The 15,883-nt window shown below is 55.3% G+C and overlaps 1 long non-coding RNA gene across 3 annotated transcripts, besides 3 other annotated features; it reads right to left on the minus strand.

Moving 5' to 3' along the window:
• Nucleotides 18–587: an enhancer, noted in NCBI's record as "H3K27ac-H3K4me1 hESC enhancer chr16:29232263-29232832 (GRCh37/hg19 assembly coordinates)". NCBI's record gives its function as "activates a minimal SCP1, AML or CMV promoter by ChIP-STARR-seq in primed H9 embryonic stem cells {active_cell/tissue: H9 hESC(primed)}" and the evidence as "EXISTENCE:reporter gene assay evidence [ECO:0000049][PMID:30033119]".
• Nucleotides 895–1,395: an enhancer, noted in NCBI's record as "H3K27ac hESC enhancer chr16:29233140-29233640 (GRCh37/hg19 assembly coordinates)". NCBI's record gives its function as "activates a minimal SCP1, AML or CMV promoter by ChIP-STARR-seq in primed H9 embryonic stem cells {active_cell/tissue: H9 hESC(primed)}" and the evidence as "EXISTENCE:reporter gene assay evidence [ECO:0000049][PMID:30033119]".
• On the minus strand, nucleotides 4,659–7,599 carry LOC102723708 (uncharacterized). Of its 3 annotated transcripts, none has more exons than NR_188601.1 (3): nucleotides 7,259–7,599; nucleotides 5,320–5,421; nucleotides 4,659–4,920 (listed from the first exon to the last, which is right to left on the minus strand). It is a non-coding gene; the product is annotated as an uncharacterized LOC102723708 (long non-coding RNA). The 3 variants fall into 3 exon arrangements; NR_188600.1 differs by having other exon boundaries at nucleotides 4,659–4,923; NR_188602.1 differs by lacking the exon at nucleotides 5,320–5,421 and having other exon boundaries at nucleotides 4,659–4,923.
• Nucleotides 8,656–8,847: a silencer, noted in NCBI's record as "fragment chr16:29240901-29241092 (GRCh37/hg19 assembly coordinates)". NCBI's record gives its function as "represses an EF-1alpha promoter that drives an FKBP-Casp9 reporter gene in an ReSE screen in K562 erythroleukemia cells {active_cell/tissue: K562}" and the evidence as "EXISTENCE:reporter gene assay evidence [ECO:0000049][PMID:32094911]".

Consider the following 15,883-nt stretch of genomic DNA (forward strand, 5'->3'; position numbering starts at 1 on the left):
ATTTGAGGAAGCGGCTGTGACTCACGGGGCCTGAGCTGCAGAGGAGCTGGCTGCCGAGATGCAGGACACGCCGGAGACACTGGACCCGGGACGCTCAACACACCCTGCCCCCCACTGCAGAGACGGGCTCCAGGGAGGCACAATGGCAGGCTTTGTCTCGGGAGAAAGTTCTAGCAGCCCTGCAGGTGGGGCGGCTGGGAGGCCCTGGGGTATGAAGACGATGTAGCGGGGCCCTCTGGAAGGCAGGGCTGGTGGGCGTCTGGCCAGCAGGTCAGGACTAGCTGAGGTGTCTGTGGAGACCCCCAGGGTCCAGCTCACCTGGTGGGGGGAGCCCTGAGCGGGTGGCGCAGGTTGGGGACCCTGAAGCAGCTCTTCTTTGCCTGGGGTGGCCTAGGAAAGCCGCCTCCAAGCTAGGCCTCCCAGATCTGACCAGACCCCGCAGAACCTAGCACATGTGGGCCCAGCAGCTGCCCAGGTGTATGACTTCAGTTTCACGGTCAGCATGAGAACACACGTTCTATTAACAGCAAAATTCTCGTTGATAAAAATGCAGATGAAATTGCATGCAGGAAGGAAGACCTCCGGAATGGCTCCTAAATGCAACATCTCACAGGCCCTCTGTAATCAGAACAGTGTGAATTACGCCAATTACACTAGGACAGGGAGGCCCCTTGTGGGAACATGGCACCAGCCGGGACCCCAACAACTGCTCCCCACAGAGGGTATTTAGGTTCTTTTTTTCTTTCTTTTTTATTTTTTTGACTTGAAGAAATCTCTGTAAATTGAATCTCAGAAATGCTGGAAGAATCCCAAATGTGGTTTATAGAAACAGTTGGAAGTAGTCCAACTTAATTCCAGATTGCCTGCATTTTTTTTTTTTTTTTTTACATCTGTGAAATCAAAACCAGACAGAATGCTGTATTAAAATGCGGTGCCTAATGGTGATTTTTCCCATGGCCAATGTAACGAGTCTGAACTCTTAGTTTCCCTGTTTATCTTGGAGTGTCTGAAATCACATTGACTGCCCTCTCCTCCTCCTGCGCTGTTGTCTCTTTTTCCCCAGCAGGGTCTCAGGAAAGGGGCCTGGGAAGAAAAGCGGGTAGGCAGGGGCTTTCCTGGGATGCATCCCGGGCCCTGTCTTTCACACCAGCCTCCTGGCTCCCCTGCTCCCCAGTTCTCCTCCCATAACCCCATCTCCACTTTGGAGCTCAGGGCCTGGCCCTAAGCTGATTCACGCAGTTTCCAAGCAAACAACAAGCTTTGCCACCTCTGTGCCTCTGCCAGTGCCGTGACCCCTGCCTGGGGTGCCCTTCCTTGCTGCCCTGGACAACTCCTCCTTTCCTTCCAAGGTCCAGATCACGTCTCACCTCTCCTGTGACACCCCAACACCTCCTCTCCCCCAGAGCACCACAGGCTGCTCCCTCCCCGGACCGAGCACCCGTGTAACTGTGCATCTCACTTGGGTAGCATCTAGCACATCTTGGGGGACCATCTGCTGTCTCCTTAGTGTCTGTGTAGACCTGGGGTGTCGTACTATCATCCTGGGGGCCTGGACTGCTGCCTGGAGGGTTCTGAGGCTGTGCCTGGCCTAGTGGGGCATGGGCTGCTTAATGACATCTTACAGCATGCAGGAAGGGCGAAGTGCAGCTCCTGGATGGGCTGTTGCCATGGTCTGGCCCCCATGGTGCTCAGACTTGCCAGAGCATCTGAATCTCTGGGAGTCCTGTTCAACCTGGGTCCCCAGGCACCACTGCCAGGGATTCTGAGACAGGAGGTCTGGGATGCCCCAGAACTTGCATATCAAACAAACTCTCAGGGATGGCCAGTGCCACGGGTCTCCAGGCTGGGAACATGGATCCCAGTCCAGGCTAGCTGCCTCTGTAGCCCTCGGGAGCCCATTAGAAATGCAGACCCTCCCCCTGCCCAGATCCACTGCACGAGAATCTACATGTCTACGAGATTCCGGGGGCACCTGTCTGTGGAGTTTGAGGAGCACAGCCTTAGATGCTAGTCCCCGGTGTGGGCACCATGCACCACTCCTTCTGCATTTGTGTCACTACCTGCTTCTGCACGTAGGAGGCACCTCAAATGCCATTTAGAATGGATGCTCAGTAAGCCAAATGTGGCCTCCTTTTTCCCTTTTGGAAAGGAAGGTCCTTCTTTCTCAAACCTTGTGTCTAGAATGTTCCCCAATGAGGGGAGGATGTCTCACTAAAAACACTGAAAGGACATTGCTTATACACTGGCCTTCTGTAGAGAGCCTCTGGAGCCTCGAGGAAGTGTAGCTCCTAACGCAGTCGGCTGCACTGACTCAATTATACATCTATTGGACCTTCGCAAGTGCAGAGCTGCCACTGTCACTTCTGATCGTAACAACCCAAATGCATGTCTCCAGATAGCACCAGAAGTAAGAGCTGGAGGGATAAGGATGGTAATGCTTGGGTGTCAGCCCCACAGAGGAGAAGGGGAGCAAAGGTCTGATGGGGGGATGTGACGGTTCTTCCCAACCGGGGTCTCTGATGGGGGGATGTGATGGTTCTTCCCAGCTGGGGTCTCTCATGGTCTCTCTCTGACTGGAGTTGGGGAAGGATATTTGGACACCTGGACATGCGTGTCTGCATGCCCCTGGGATGTGCTCTCTAGAAAAGCACTAGGCACGTTCATTTATCCACCATTCCACATGCACTTATTGTGCTCCTACTGTATGCCAGGCACGAGGTTGGGTGCTGGGGAAATGCTCCTATGGGGGAATTGTTTTCTGTGCTAATTGTTGCCATAGAAAAAGGCACAGGCTGGGCACAGTGCCTCACACCTGTAATCCCAGCACTTTGGGAGGCCGAGGTGGGTGGATCGCCTGAGGTCAGGAGTTGGAGACCAGCCTGACCAACATGATGAAACTGTCTCTACTAAAAATACAAAAAATTAGCTGGGCATGGTGGCAGGCACCTGTAATCCCAAGTACTTGGGAGGCTGAGGCAGGAGAATCGCTTGAACCCAGGAGGTAGAGGTTGCAGTGAGCCGAGATTGCACCACTGCACTCCAGCCTGGGTGACAGAGTGGGACTGTGTCGGAAAAAAAAAAAAAAAGAAAAGAAAAGGAAAGAAAAGAAAAGAAAAACGCACAGAAATTTTAACCAACCAGGAGGCAACCAGACTCTGGGGAACTTTCAAGATCCTTATCACAATTTCCCACCCCACCCACCCTGTTACTTCCTCTACTTTTCTCTCTCTTGTTGTCTTGTCTTGACCCTTTGTGCTGCAAAATGGGTACCCATACATGGGGCTGGGGGCTTTAGACCAGTGGATGGGTCTCAGTCCACACAAACAGCTAATCTGGATACACGAGGCCAAAACCTTCTCATTTTTCTGGGCAACTTTTTTTCCTGGCCCAAAATGTTTTGATTGTTGTTAACTCACAGGAGTGGGGTAGACCATTAAGGCTAATTTCAGGCCCAATATTGTCATTTTTAGAGGAGAAAAGTGGAAACCCTGGGCACTTGCCTGGGTAGTGGCTGAACCAGAGGTGACACCTTGCTCAGTCCCAGCACAGCCCCACCATGCACCCGGCACCACACCAGGCACTCACCCTCTTATACAACAGGACAGGTGGCGTGTTTGTGAAACTAGTGGAGGTTTGTGTTCAGGAGGTGGAGGAGGGAGGACAGGAAGGAGAGGGAGAAGAGCATGCACTGGAGAAGTAAATCCAGGGATCACACACAGCCACGTCCTCACAATGCATGCTTGAGATCAGTGTTTGTACTAAGGGCAATGGGGAGCTATTGAAGACTCCAGGCTGGAAGCAACACAGGCAAGAGTGTGTCTTAGAAGCATCTCTGTTGCATTTGGTAGGCTGAGATAGAGGCTAAGCTGAGGCTGTTGGAGAACTCAACAGCGGAGGGTGTTGGCTTGAACTAAGGAAGTATGTTGTGTAAACGGGAGTGCTGTGACCTGTTGCAGTCTTACTTTCCCACTGACTTCTATGGAGTATCAGTTTCCTGTTGCCTCTGTAACACACTGCCACAAACTGGACTTTAGAACAATAGATGTTCATCATCGCTCTTCCCAGGAGTGTCCGGAGGGAACCAGCCCCTGCCAACACCTGGACCTTAGGACCTCTGACCTCCAGAACTGGGAGAGACTAGATGTGTGTGGTTGGAAGCCTCTAAGTCAGTGGTCATTTGTTATAGCAGTGCTAGGGGCACTAGGAAACAATTACCAGAGGCAAGAGACAAAGTCTTATTAGCTACCCTCCTCTGAAGGACAGAAAGGAAAATATGAGACCAGGAGGGTGTTGAGAGCCAAGTGGATTGAAGTGAAGGCTTGGGGCTCCTTGTGGATTTTGTTTGTGTGGGTTATTTTGTTCCCAGGAGTCTCAGGCTGTGTAGCCAAATGCAGTCTGCAGTTCTACTCTTTCCTTTCTTTGAAAGCAAACAGCCTCTTTTGGAAGAGTGAAGGGCACCCGAGGTTCCAGCTGGGGCTGGCCCAGGCCACGGAGCTCTCAGAATGCGTACAGCGCAGACAGCACCCTGCAGTTGGGTGGGTGCTGGCTTTGAGGTCTGGAGATCTAGATGCCCACAAGGTGCCCCTGGCAAGTGGGGGCTGCAAAGGCATCACCCACCCCACTGGGCTGGGGCAGAGAAATAGACATGATGCATCTGATGAGCTCGGAAAACATTTCTAATGTATTTATTTTTTGTGGTTCGGCTACAGAAGAGAATAAGAAAGGGCTGAAGGGGATGAATGAACAAGAGCAGGAGAAGGACTGCCCTGAGGGCAGGAGGAAAGGGTGTGAATCGGGATAGAAGTCAGAACCCCACCAGCTTCTTGCCTGGGAACCAATTGCTGGAGCTGCTTCCTTCCTTCGTTCATTCCTGCTTTCTTCACTCCTTCATTCCCTGAACATCAGACATGGTCATAGGCCCTGCTGAGAATTAAAACAGAACAATGAACAAGTCCCACTCTCAGAACGCAGGCAGAGGTGAAATGTTCGGTGGGCTATGGTGATGGCTTTGGAGATTTACTGGTAGCTTCTGTGGGGTTACTCTGGCTGGGGACCCCAGGGGCCTGCTATGGACAGAATTGTCTCCCTCTCAAATTTGTATATTGAAGTCCTAACACCCAGCGTGATGGTATTTGGAGGGGGGGACTTTGGAGGGTGATTGAGTTTAGATGAGGCCATGAAGCTGGGACCCCATGATGGGATTGGTGTCCTTACAAGGAGAGGAAGAGGCTGGAGCTCCTTCTCTCACCTTGTGAGGACACTGTGGGAAGCCACCTGCAAGTCAGGAAGGGCCCTCATCAGAAGCCAAGTCAGCCATACCTTGATCTTGGAATTCCAGCCTCCAGAACTATGAGAAACAAATTCCTCTTGTTGAAACCATGCAGCCTCAGCTGGTGGAAGCGTTCGGGGTGAGCATGGCTCCTGCAGGGAGATGGAGCAGGGACATTGTGTCAGGTCTAAGGCTGCTGGTAGAGCCTCAGCTTCCTTTCCTTGGCACTCACCAGGCCATGCTGGGAAAGAAGTCTGAGCCAGGTAGTTCGGAAAACACCCCCTTGGTAACTCTTTTGGGAAACGGAGACAGACATCAAGGTCTTATCCACTTTGTGCAGGAAGATGACATGCGGTAATAAGGAAAAGAAAATGGGAGGTCCTCTGTCTCATGGAATTTGGGGTCACAAGTGTCTGTACAACACCTTACTGGGTCTCAACTCCCAGCTTCTCAGGAACAAGAGACAAAGAATATAGGTCAGCAGAGCAGAGCCCGAGGGGCTGGTCCACAGTCCAAGTCACACATGATGAGGACAGTATTGAGAGTCATCACATGATGATGGCAGTGATGGTGGTAGTGATGATGGTGGTGATGGTGATGATGGTGGTGATAAAGGTGCCACCGGCGTCGCCGCCGGCGTCACTACCGGCGCCATCATCCTCATCATCATCACCATCATCACTATGACCATCATCACCATTACCTCCATCATCACCACCATCACCACATCATCATCATCACCACCACCATCATCACCACCACCATCATCACCATCATTACCATCATTGTCATCACCACCACCACCACCATCACCACCACCACCATCACCACCACCACCACCATCACCACCACCATCACTATCATTACCATCATCATCATCACCACCATCATCACCACCATCATTACCATCATTGTCATCACCACCACGGCCATCATCGTCATCCAGGTCCCGTCATTACTATCATCGTCATCACCACCGTCTTCTCCTGCTTCTTCTCCATCATTATCATTGCTGCTGTCACCACCATGATTATCATCATCATCATCATCTCCATTGTTCTCATCCTTCTTCTCCTCCATGTGCCTCTATGTCTTCCCATACCTTTAACATGGGTTCCATGACTCCTTAGCATGGCTGCCATCATCATGTGGATGTGGATGGTGGTGGTGGTGATGATGGTGGTGATGGTGGTGATGATAAGGATGATGATATTGATTATGAGAGTTGTCTTAGTCCATCTGGGTTGCTTTAACAAAATACTATAAATTGGAGGCCAAGCATGGTGGCTCACACCTGTAATCCCAGCACTTCGGAAGGCTGAGGCTGGAGGATCACTTTAGGCCAGGAGTTCGAGATTAGCCTGGGCACTACACAGGAGGATCCATATCTCTACAGAACATTTTAAAATTAGCTGGGTGTGGTGGTGTGCACCTGCAGTCTCAGTTACTCAGGAGGCTGAAGTAGGAGGATTGCTTGAGCCCAGGAGGTTGAGGCTGCAGTGAGCAATGATCTCACCACTGTGCTCCAGCCTGGGTGGCAGAGCGAGACCCTGTCTCTAAAAAAAACCAAAAAAACCCATAAATTAGGTGGCTTATAAACAACAGAAGTTCCTTTCTCATAGTTCTGGAGGCTGGGAAGTCCAAGATTAACTTATCAGTAGAGTCAGTGTCTGGTGAGGCCCATTTCCTCATAGATGGTTATCTTACTGCGCCCTCACATGGCGGAAGGGGTAAGGGGGCTTTCTAGGGCCTCTTATAAAGCACGAATCCCATTAATGAGGGCTCTGCTTCTTAACTTCATCACCTCTCGAAGGCCCCACCTCCTAATCCCATCACTTTGAGGTTAAGGATTTCAACAAATGAATGTGGAGGGACACAAACACTCAGGCCCCAGCGTGGCCCAGCACCTGCAGAATGTGGCTTGGTGCAATCACTCTTTAAGCTCCCGCCCCTGGTTACTTGGTTTATTCCCCCCTCCGCCACACAAACCTCCAAGGCTGGGCTACTGATCATCCTCTTCCTACAGACGAGAGACTGCAGGCCTGGAGATGACACAGCCTGCTCAGGCCACACGGCCTGCAGGTGGCACTGCACTGCAGCAGCCGGGGACGGGCCCCACGTCCTCAGTGCCCTGTGATGTCATTTCAGTGTCGGAGCAGGGAGGGACCTGCTTGTTTTAGAGAAGGGGGTTCACCTGGGACACCCCTGAGCTTTGTCCCAAGCCTCAACAAGCCACTCACTTCCCACTTGGGAGTAGTTTCTCTGCACGCACCAGGCAGTGGGACCAGGGAAGAAATCGCGTCCACTAAGTGGTGTCGTCTGCCTGCAAGACCTGCACAGCTCCCAGGCCTATGGCTTTGGGCACCAGGTGCTGCGCCAGCGTCTGGAAATGATTAATTCCTGGGCACACCTGCTGTGTGCCCAGCCCTGGGGCTGAGGACGGAGCCCTTTCCTGCCATCATGGAGCCTGCATTGCACGGGGTGAGATGCGTGATAGAAGGACATATCCCACATCACGTGCACTGAAGACAAAGCTGTGAAAGGATAGAGTGTGGGGAGGGGCTTCTGTCTCAGATGTGGAGGTCAGGGACGTCCTCCCCAGCGGGTGACTTTGGAGCAGGGGCCTGAGGGACGTGGGCAGCCCGGCAGACCCCTCATTACATGTGTTAAAGCCTCCTCCGGTGGGGGGCTGGGCAGAGGCTATTGCAGTTGTCCAAACTTCCTGCAATGGCAGAACATTCTAGATCCGCACTGTCCAGTAAGGTGGCCACGAGTCACACGTGACTGTCGAGCTCTGGAAATGCAGCTGGTGCAGCTAAGGAGCTGAATTTTAAATTGTATTTAATTCTTGTCACTTTAAATGTAAATGTCTACCCATGGCTAGCAGTGACAGGGCAGGCCCACCTGGCCTTGGCGAAGCAGGTGAGTGCTGGAGTGTGTACTTTGAGGCTGACGGGTTTCTTGATGGATGGGTGGCGAGCAGAATGGGTTTTTAGCTGGCCAGGCCTTGGAGTTGTGAAACCTGGACTTTGTTTTATGGTGGTTCTGTGGTCTTGGACAGAGTTCACAACCTCACCAACTCTCTGTTTATTAAAAAGAGAGCGATGGCTCTGCTGGTCACGCCGGGACGTTGCAAGGCACAAATGCAGCAGACGTGAGCCTGTGTGTGGCTCACATTGGGTCAGCATTAGCCCCGCAAGCCACCCGAGGCGAGGGCCCCTGGCAACTCCAGGGCGGCTGCTTGACAAGGCGCTGCTGCCGCCTCATGTTCTCTGTTACCTGGCTTGGGGTCTTCTGGGCTCTGCAGGCCATGTTTGAGGTGGGTTGTGACCCAGTGCTCCAGTCTGACCCTCGACCCTCCCCCAAATCCCACCAGGGTTCCCATTCCACCGTGACCTGGCAGGAGATGTCAGACCGCAGCTGAGGGCCCTGCTGGTTTCCTACGAGGAGGCTGCAGATGGGAATGAGGACCTCACGGTCAAGGGCGTGGACACCTCCCGCCTGACAGATGACACATTTGTGAGTGGGTCCCCAGAGGTCTGCCCTGGCACCTGACAACCCCGGGAGGCAGGAACAGGTTAGAGCCAACTGTGGAGCTCATCAGAGAGGTGACTTTCAGTACCAAAAGGGTGTTTTCCAAGGGAAATCCTGCCGCACAGGGCAAATGAAAGCAGGTCAGGGCTCACCAGTCACTGCAGAATCCGCCGGCCCACATGTCCCTGGTCTTCAGAGGTGGGAACAGCCAGCTGGGAAGGAATCCACCTGCCCCCATGGCCTGTGGATCTGAGGACTCCTCTCCCACCTCCTGTGCCAACCATTGTTTGGTGAAGGCGCCCTTGCTCCCAGCCCGCTCTCCTCTGACATTCTTTGGTGAACATCCCATCTCCTTTTCTCCAGAACCAGCCGGCTCAGACCACCCACATATTTTACAGTTACTGGGCTTCTATGTTCCACAGAGGGTGCTTGGCTGGGGGGACAGGGGAGGGGACAGAGCCTCAGGCCAGGTGCAGGGAGGACGGTGCTGGCCATAGGGCTGGGGCAGCCTCAGGTCACACCACCATTCCAGCACTCTCTGTGTGGCTCCAGGGACTCAGCGTCGCCACCTGGGAGTTGGGATGGGGGCTCAGGCAGAGGCGCTGGTTCGTTGTCCCACAGATCAAGCCTCTCTGAGTCCTCGGCTGTCTTGGTGGAGACTCCAAAGGTGAGGCCGGACTGCATGTCCCATGACCCTTCTCCACCGGGCAGGGCCAAGGACCCTGCAGCAAGGGCCCTTCATGCCGGGCTCACCACCCTGTTCCCTCCATGACCTCGCCAAAAGCCTCCCGCTCCCACCCCCGGCTTTGGGACGGTCAAACAGGTGAGGGCTGGGGGTCCTGCCCCGGGGGGAGGATGACAGGCGACGGGAGGAGTGCCTGGCATGGCCGAAGAGAACACGGCAGTGGGGTGTGTGTCAGCAGCAGTGGCACAGCCAAACCCCGGCAGGCTTCATGCAGAAGGCGGCATCTGGGGAGAAGTTAAAAGCTGAGCAGGAGCCAGCGGGTGAAGTGGGAAACGGAGAAAGGGCTATAGCCTGTGCCCAGCTCTCCCTGTCAGCCTGAGATGAGGGACATCTTTTGTGTCCGGGCACTGCCTGGGTTGCTTGGACAGAAGCCTCAGAGCTGGAAGGAGCTGAGAAACCACAAGCTCCAATGCTCACGCCCCATAGGGGACCGAGGAACCGCAGAAGGGACCGCACCTGCCCGGTGGCCAGCAACGGAAGGACGGCAGGGAGCGAACACACTCCAGCCCCTACGGTCTCTCCGCTCTCCCAGCTGAGCTGTCTTCCCCGGAGGCCGGGCTGCAACCCGAGAAGGCGCCGCGCCATCGGCCCTCACCCTGCTCCGCCTAAGCTGCTGCTTTTCCTCTGCAAATGCCCTGGGCTGGACGTCAAACCACAGTCAGGTAGGGGCGGCCCAGACCAGGGACCAGCAGCTGGTTCCCTCTGCCTGGTCTCACTTCTAAAGCCACTGGAAGAGGAAACACATAAAATGTGACTTTGCAGAGGAATTCCAATAAACAAGATGTGTTTCCAAGTCTTCTGAGGCTGCCGAGACTGAGTAGCTGCGTGTGAGCAGCCACAACTCCTCTGTTGTCCTCCTGCAAAGTGTCCCCGCCCTCCCACTCAGGTCGCGTTCCTCCGGCCGCCCCCGGCTGCTCCCGCCACAGGAGACTGGACGGTGGGCTCTGGCCTTGGGGACCTCCGGCCCTGCCTGCAGCAGGCCCCAGTGTGTGTGGGCGAGAGGGCCGGGCCAGCTGACTCCTGTCTTTCTTTGGGACCACGTCATCAAGCGGGCTGGAGCCAGAGGCTGGGCCCCTCTGTGTCCCGGGGATCCTCACCCCCCAGGTCCCCAGTGCTGTCCTTGTCACCACTGAACGGCAGTTTCTCCCCACCCCGTGCTTCAGTTTACCTGTCCGGACCAGGGGTGGCAACCTCTTTTCCAGAACGGGGCAGAAGGTGAATGCAGTTCACTCTAGTTCTCTGCATTGTGTCTTCTTTTTAAAGAAAATAACCCTTTACAAATGAAGGGTTGGCCGGGTGCAGTGGCTCACGCCTGTAATCCCAGCACTTTAAAAAGGTCAAGGCAGGTGGATCACCTGAGGTCAGGAGTTCGAGACCAGCCTGGCCAACATGGTGAAACCCCATCTCTACTACAAATACAAAAATTAGCCAGGCGTGGTGGTAGGCACCTGTAATCCCAGCTACTTGGGAGGCTAAGGCAGGAGAATCACTTGAACCTGGGAGGTGGAGGTTGCAGTGAGCCGAGATTGCGCCACTGCACTCCAGCCTGAGTGAGAGAGTGAGACTCTGCCTCATAAATAAATTAAAGGAAAAAAAAAATGAAAACAAAGGGTTAAAACACCACTCTCAGCGTGGAGGCTGGGCACAGACAGCTGTGGCTGCCGGCAGTCCTGCAGCCCTGGAGTGGACTGTGGGGTGAGGCTGCACCTGCCCAGGGGTCTCCGGGTGTCCCTGCAACTCCATCTTGAGCAGGCCCTTACATGCCAGTGCCTGGCGTTGCTCGTGTTGGCCTGTGGTTTACAGATAAGGAAACTGAGGCTGGGAAGGGCCAGAAGTTCCCTAAGGCGCCGGCTGCTGGCAGGGGTGGGGGAGCTCTGAACCCTATCATTTGTGTGCTCACAATGATAACCCACAGGTGGTGGGGGCCGTGGTGTCTCTTGATGGCCTGGGGCTCCCATGTGGGCCCACCCTGCTGGGTCCAGGGTGTCCTCCTGTTCCTCCTCCCTTTTTGCCTGGAGGAGACTCCTCCACTAACTCTGAGGTTCTAGTGACTTCCTGCCGTGCTCCCCCCAGGAGTAGCCATGTTTCCACAGCCACCCCACGGGCAGTGGCCAGAGTGGCTGGAATGCCAGGTTCAGCATCTGTGGTGTGAGGCATGGACACAGCACCTGCGAATCCGTGTTGGCTGTCATTCCTATTAACCAGTTATAACAAGGATCACACACCTTGTTCCCCACACCAGTCATGTGGTGGCTGCACTGTGAGGCAGACACCAACCTTGCATTTTCCACGTACAGAAGTGGCTGAACACAGCCCAGGAGCTTGCCCAAAGCTGCAGGAGGCTGCTCTGGCTCGGGCTCAGGACCGGGGGTGCTTAGAGTGAGGCTCTGGCTGTCCTGCCCGCCTGTGGGTCCTAAAGTCCTCTCATTGCCATTCCAGGTGCCCCCGTGGATAAGCTGCACCCACCTATCCCCAGGAGCACAGCCAGCACCTCTCAGGTGCGCCCCTGAGGTGTCTGTGGCACCTGTCTCTTATCCATCATCATTCTCCCAGGCAGACCCAGGGCGGGGCAGATGCTGGCTCTGGCACCGCAGGAAGCACATCTGGTCCAAGGCATCTCAGAACCTGAGGCTCCGGGGTGTAGAATGGACTTTGAGTTTCTGGAAGAGACCTTAGGAAACGTTGTGTCTGCATTTCCAGGTGGCCGGTTGGTGGTGGGGGCGCCTCACTCCTCACCCTGTGCAGCATCCTCAGCCTCTGCCTGCATCTCTTGAGTCTGCTCTGGGTCAGCACTGGGGGTGAGGAGGTGATGAGGGGCAGCGGCAGGGGCCGGGGGTCAAGAGCCCCAGAGGGGAGGCCAGGCCAGGTCCCGGCAGCCCAGGTGAGATGAGGGCCTCGTGGTGGCCTTGAGGGCTGGAGGTGAGGGAAGGGCCCTGAGCCGGGTGCCACGGCCGACGCCCTGTCCTTTGCCGTGACAGTCTCTGTGCAGTGCAGGCAGCCCCCACCGAATCCAGGTACAGTGCTCAGTGACAAGCGTAGGGAGAGTGGTCAAATCGGAGCAGGGGCAGGGGACGTGAGTCAGGCTGAAAAGAAGAAGCTCAGAGCAGGAAGGGCAGAGGGGCCGGGAAGGGCAGGTCTGAAGCTCGGAGTGGGAAGGGCAGACGGGCTGGGAAGAGCAGGTCTGAAGCTCGGAGTGGGAGGGGCAGAGGCGGTGAAGGGTGAGTCCGGAGCAGCCTCTAGTTGCCCAGGTGCTCGGAGAGTGAGGAACCCCCCAGGGAGGGAGGAGCCCCCAACCCACAGGGCTGCAGCCTTGGACACGGCCAAGACCCGGGCCTAGGAAGAATGGGGTCCTCAGGGCTCAGGTGGGTTACTCATCCGCCCGCTCTGTGCCCAGGGCCCTCCCCCACCACCGTCAGCGAGTCCGCACACAGGTGCCTGGGGTTGTCACCTGAGGGCCGCGCCTGCCTCCTCTCCTGATCCCACAGCAGCCCAGGAAGCAGGGCCCCGTGTGAGCTCCCGGAGCTGCGGCATCAAAACACTACAAATGACGGTGGGGGCGGGGACGGGGCGGGGGTGGAGGCAGGAGCTGGGGGCCAAAGCCGTGGAACTCACTCCCTCTCAGCCTGGAGACCAAAATCCAGGTGTCTCAGGGCCATGCTGCCTCGGGGGTCTCCCGGGGATCCTTCCTGCCTCTTCCAGCTCCTGGTGGCTCCAGGTGTCCTTGGCTTGTGGCCATGCCACTCCAGTCCCACCTCATCCTCACATGGCCTCTGCTCTGTGTCTCTCCCTGTGTGTGTGTGTATCTCTGTGTCTCTCGCTTTATAAAGACAATGGTCATTGGATTTAGGGCCCACCCTACTCCAGCACGACCTCATCTTGACTAATTACATCTGCAAAGAGCCCATTTCCAACCAAGCGACACTCACACAGGTCGGGGGTAGGACTCGGACACAACTCAATCCATAGCAAGTGTGGGTTTTGAAATAGAATCTTAAAGAAGTCCCTCATAAGCCCCAGAGAGCAGCTGGAGGTGCCCCATGAACCCCACAGAGTGGCCAGAGGTGTCTCATAACCCCATAGAGCAGCCGGAGCTGCCCCATAACCCCATAGAGCAGCAGGAGGTGCCCCGTAACCCCATAGAGCAGCGGGAGGCGCCCCGTAACCCCATAGAGCAGCCGTAGGTGCCCCGTAACCTCATAGAGCAGCTGGAGATGCCCCATAAGCCACATAGAGCTGCTAGGGTGCCCCAGGCCTTGTCTCTGTTTTTCTGGGCATCCTGGGAACTGGGCAGAGTGGGATCGTGACACCCGTGGACCAGGAGAGATTCTGGGAAGCCCCTGCCGTTCTGTTTCCCACTTCTTTCAGGCCACTTGGCCAGCACCGCTAGGCCCTCCTCGTCCCTCTTCGTGGAAAACCATGCAGAGGGAGGCAGGTAGAGAAGAGAAAAGATGTCTGACTTCAAGCTTCTAAAGGATTTTCTCCGACAGGAGGAAGAGATACTTTTCAAAATGGTTGTGAGCCGCCTTGGCCAGAACGCAGGAGGACCCTGTTAAGAGGAAATCAGGCACAAGGCGCCCACACAGCCAGGGTGGGAGGGCATTCCAGGATGGTCACAGCTGTCTCCGCTGTGGTCTCAAATGACTTTGCTTGGCCTTCTGGAATCTAAAGGGTCCTGGAGTGGGGTGTTCACTGGATTTGCTGCCGAGAAGTCTGCAGCTTTTCACTGTCACTCTTGAGACCTGGATCCTTCAGACGTGGAAAAGGGAGTGATTGCTCTGAAAGTTCCAGTTTGGGTGCTGGCGACCGGCCTCCAGGCATCTAGGAAGTCGGAGAGCACAGTGCTGGGGACCTTCCATAGAAACCCAAGTGTGCGCCAGCTGCAGGATTTATAATGTAAAAATCAGTGCTCGCGTTAAGGGGCAGCGCCGAGGGAGCAGAGCCTGCGTCCATCGCCATTGTGTTCCAGGCCTCCTTCTGTGAGGTGCCCCTACCAGCAGCTTGCATTCCCTGTACCCCGATATTTCACTGCAGATGTTACTGGAAGCCCTCTGCCACAGGAATCCTCAGGAGCTGATTATTTTAGGAAAGTAAATGGAGAATGAGGAAAATAATATCCGAACACATGACCTCAATTCGCAACGGAGATGTTTCCCGGCAGAACATCGGCTTCGTAGAACCACCTGATTATGTCCCGGCTTCCTCGAAGGGTTTTTTAGGAGCCTCCTGAGGCACAGCAGGGCTTCGAGGAGGCTCCTAAAGGGTACAGGAGCACTTTGCAGGGCCGTACCCAGAAACCCCGTTCTAGGCAGAGTTCCCCATTTGGGCTGTGTTTTGAGAAGGCATTTTTAAGGATTCTAATCCTGTATTCAAACATCATTAAGAGCCTAACATCAACCTCATAGTTTTTTCCTGAACATTCAGCTTAAGGGGCTGAGCTCCAGCGTGGCAATCCTGAAAGTGGAATGAACAGTCTTGGGGTGATGCTAGAATTCTCTATAAAAACGCACACAAGCAAAGAGAGGGCCTGGGGCTCGTCCGGCAGTAACAGCAGCACAGTACAAGGCACGGATGCGGAACCGGCTCCCAAACCCCGTGCCTCACTGTCCCTGGTGTAGTGACAAGGTGTCAGAGATGCGCGATCATTTCAGACGTTTTCTATGGGGAGGAAGCTGGGTTTTCTGAGCAGTCATGGGGGGTGAGTGATGTGTGTGAGGACTCGCACAGGCCAGAAAAAATGATGGCTTTAACACAGATCTGGAAAGAAATTCTGAAAACCAAAGAAAGTCGGCAATGAGGCCAGCCTGGGAAATGTTCCGAGAGGGTGTGGAGAACTGGGGAGCAGTGGAGGGTTTCGGGGCGGGGGGGGGGCCCAGCCCATGACAGGCCTGAAGAAGGACCCTGAGCCCCCACCCCGGGTGGCACAGGGGTGCCCAGGCCTGCAGCCCCCAGGGAGAGACGCCGTTCCTGGTGAGGGAGGGGGGAGCTGTGCTGACCCCCCGTGTTTTCCATGATCTCTCACTCCATGCTGGGCAGAGGCTTTAGGAAAAGCTGAGCTGTGCCCGGAGACGGCACCCAGGAGTCCAGCCGGGATAGGACTTGTTTTTCTTCAACAGCAGCGCCAGAGGCAGAAGGGCCAGGAATTCACTTGCGTGGTCCCGGCCCCTCTCCTGGGGCCCATCCTGGGTCTTGGCCTGGGCTCAGGGCCCACTGGCTGGACAGACTGGAGACCCGAACTGAGTGCAGGAGGCTGTGGGTCTGGGCGCCTCCCTTGGGACTTCCATTCGTTGCATGGATTTATTTTCACCGCAGATACCTCAGGTGTACTTCCTAAGAGC

This window comes from Homo sapiens, chromosome 16 (genome assembly GCF_000001405.40).
Source record: "Homo sapiens chromosome 16, GRCh38.p14 Primary Assembly".
NCBI classification, from domain to species: Eukaryota; Metazoa; Chordata; class Mammalia; order Primates; family Hominidae; genus Homo; species Homo sapiens.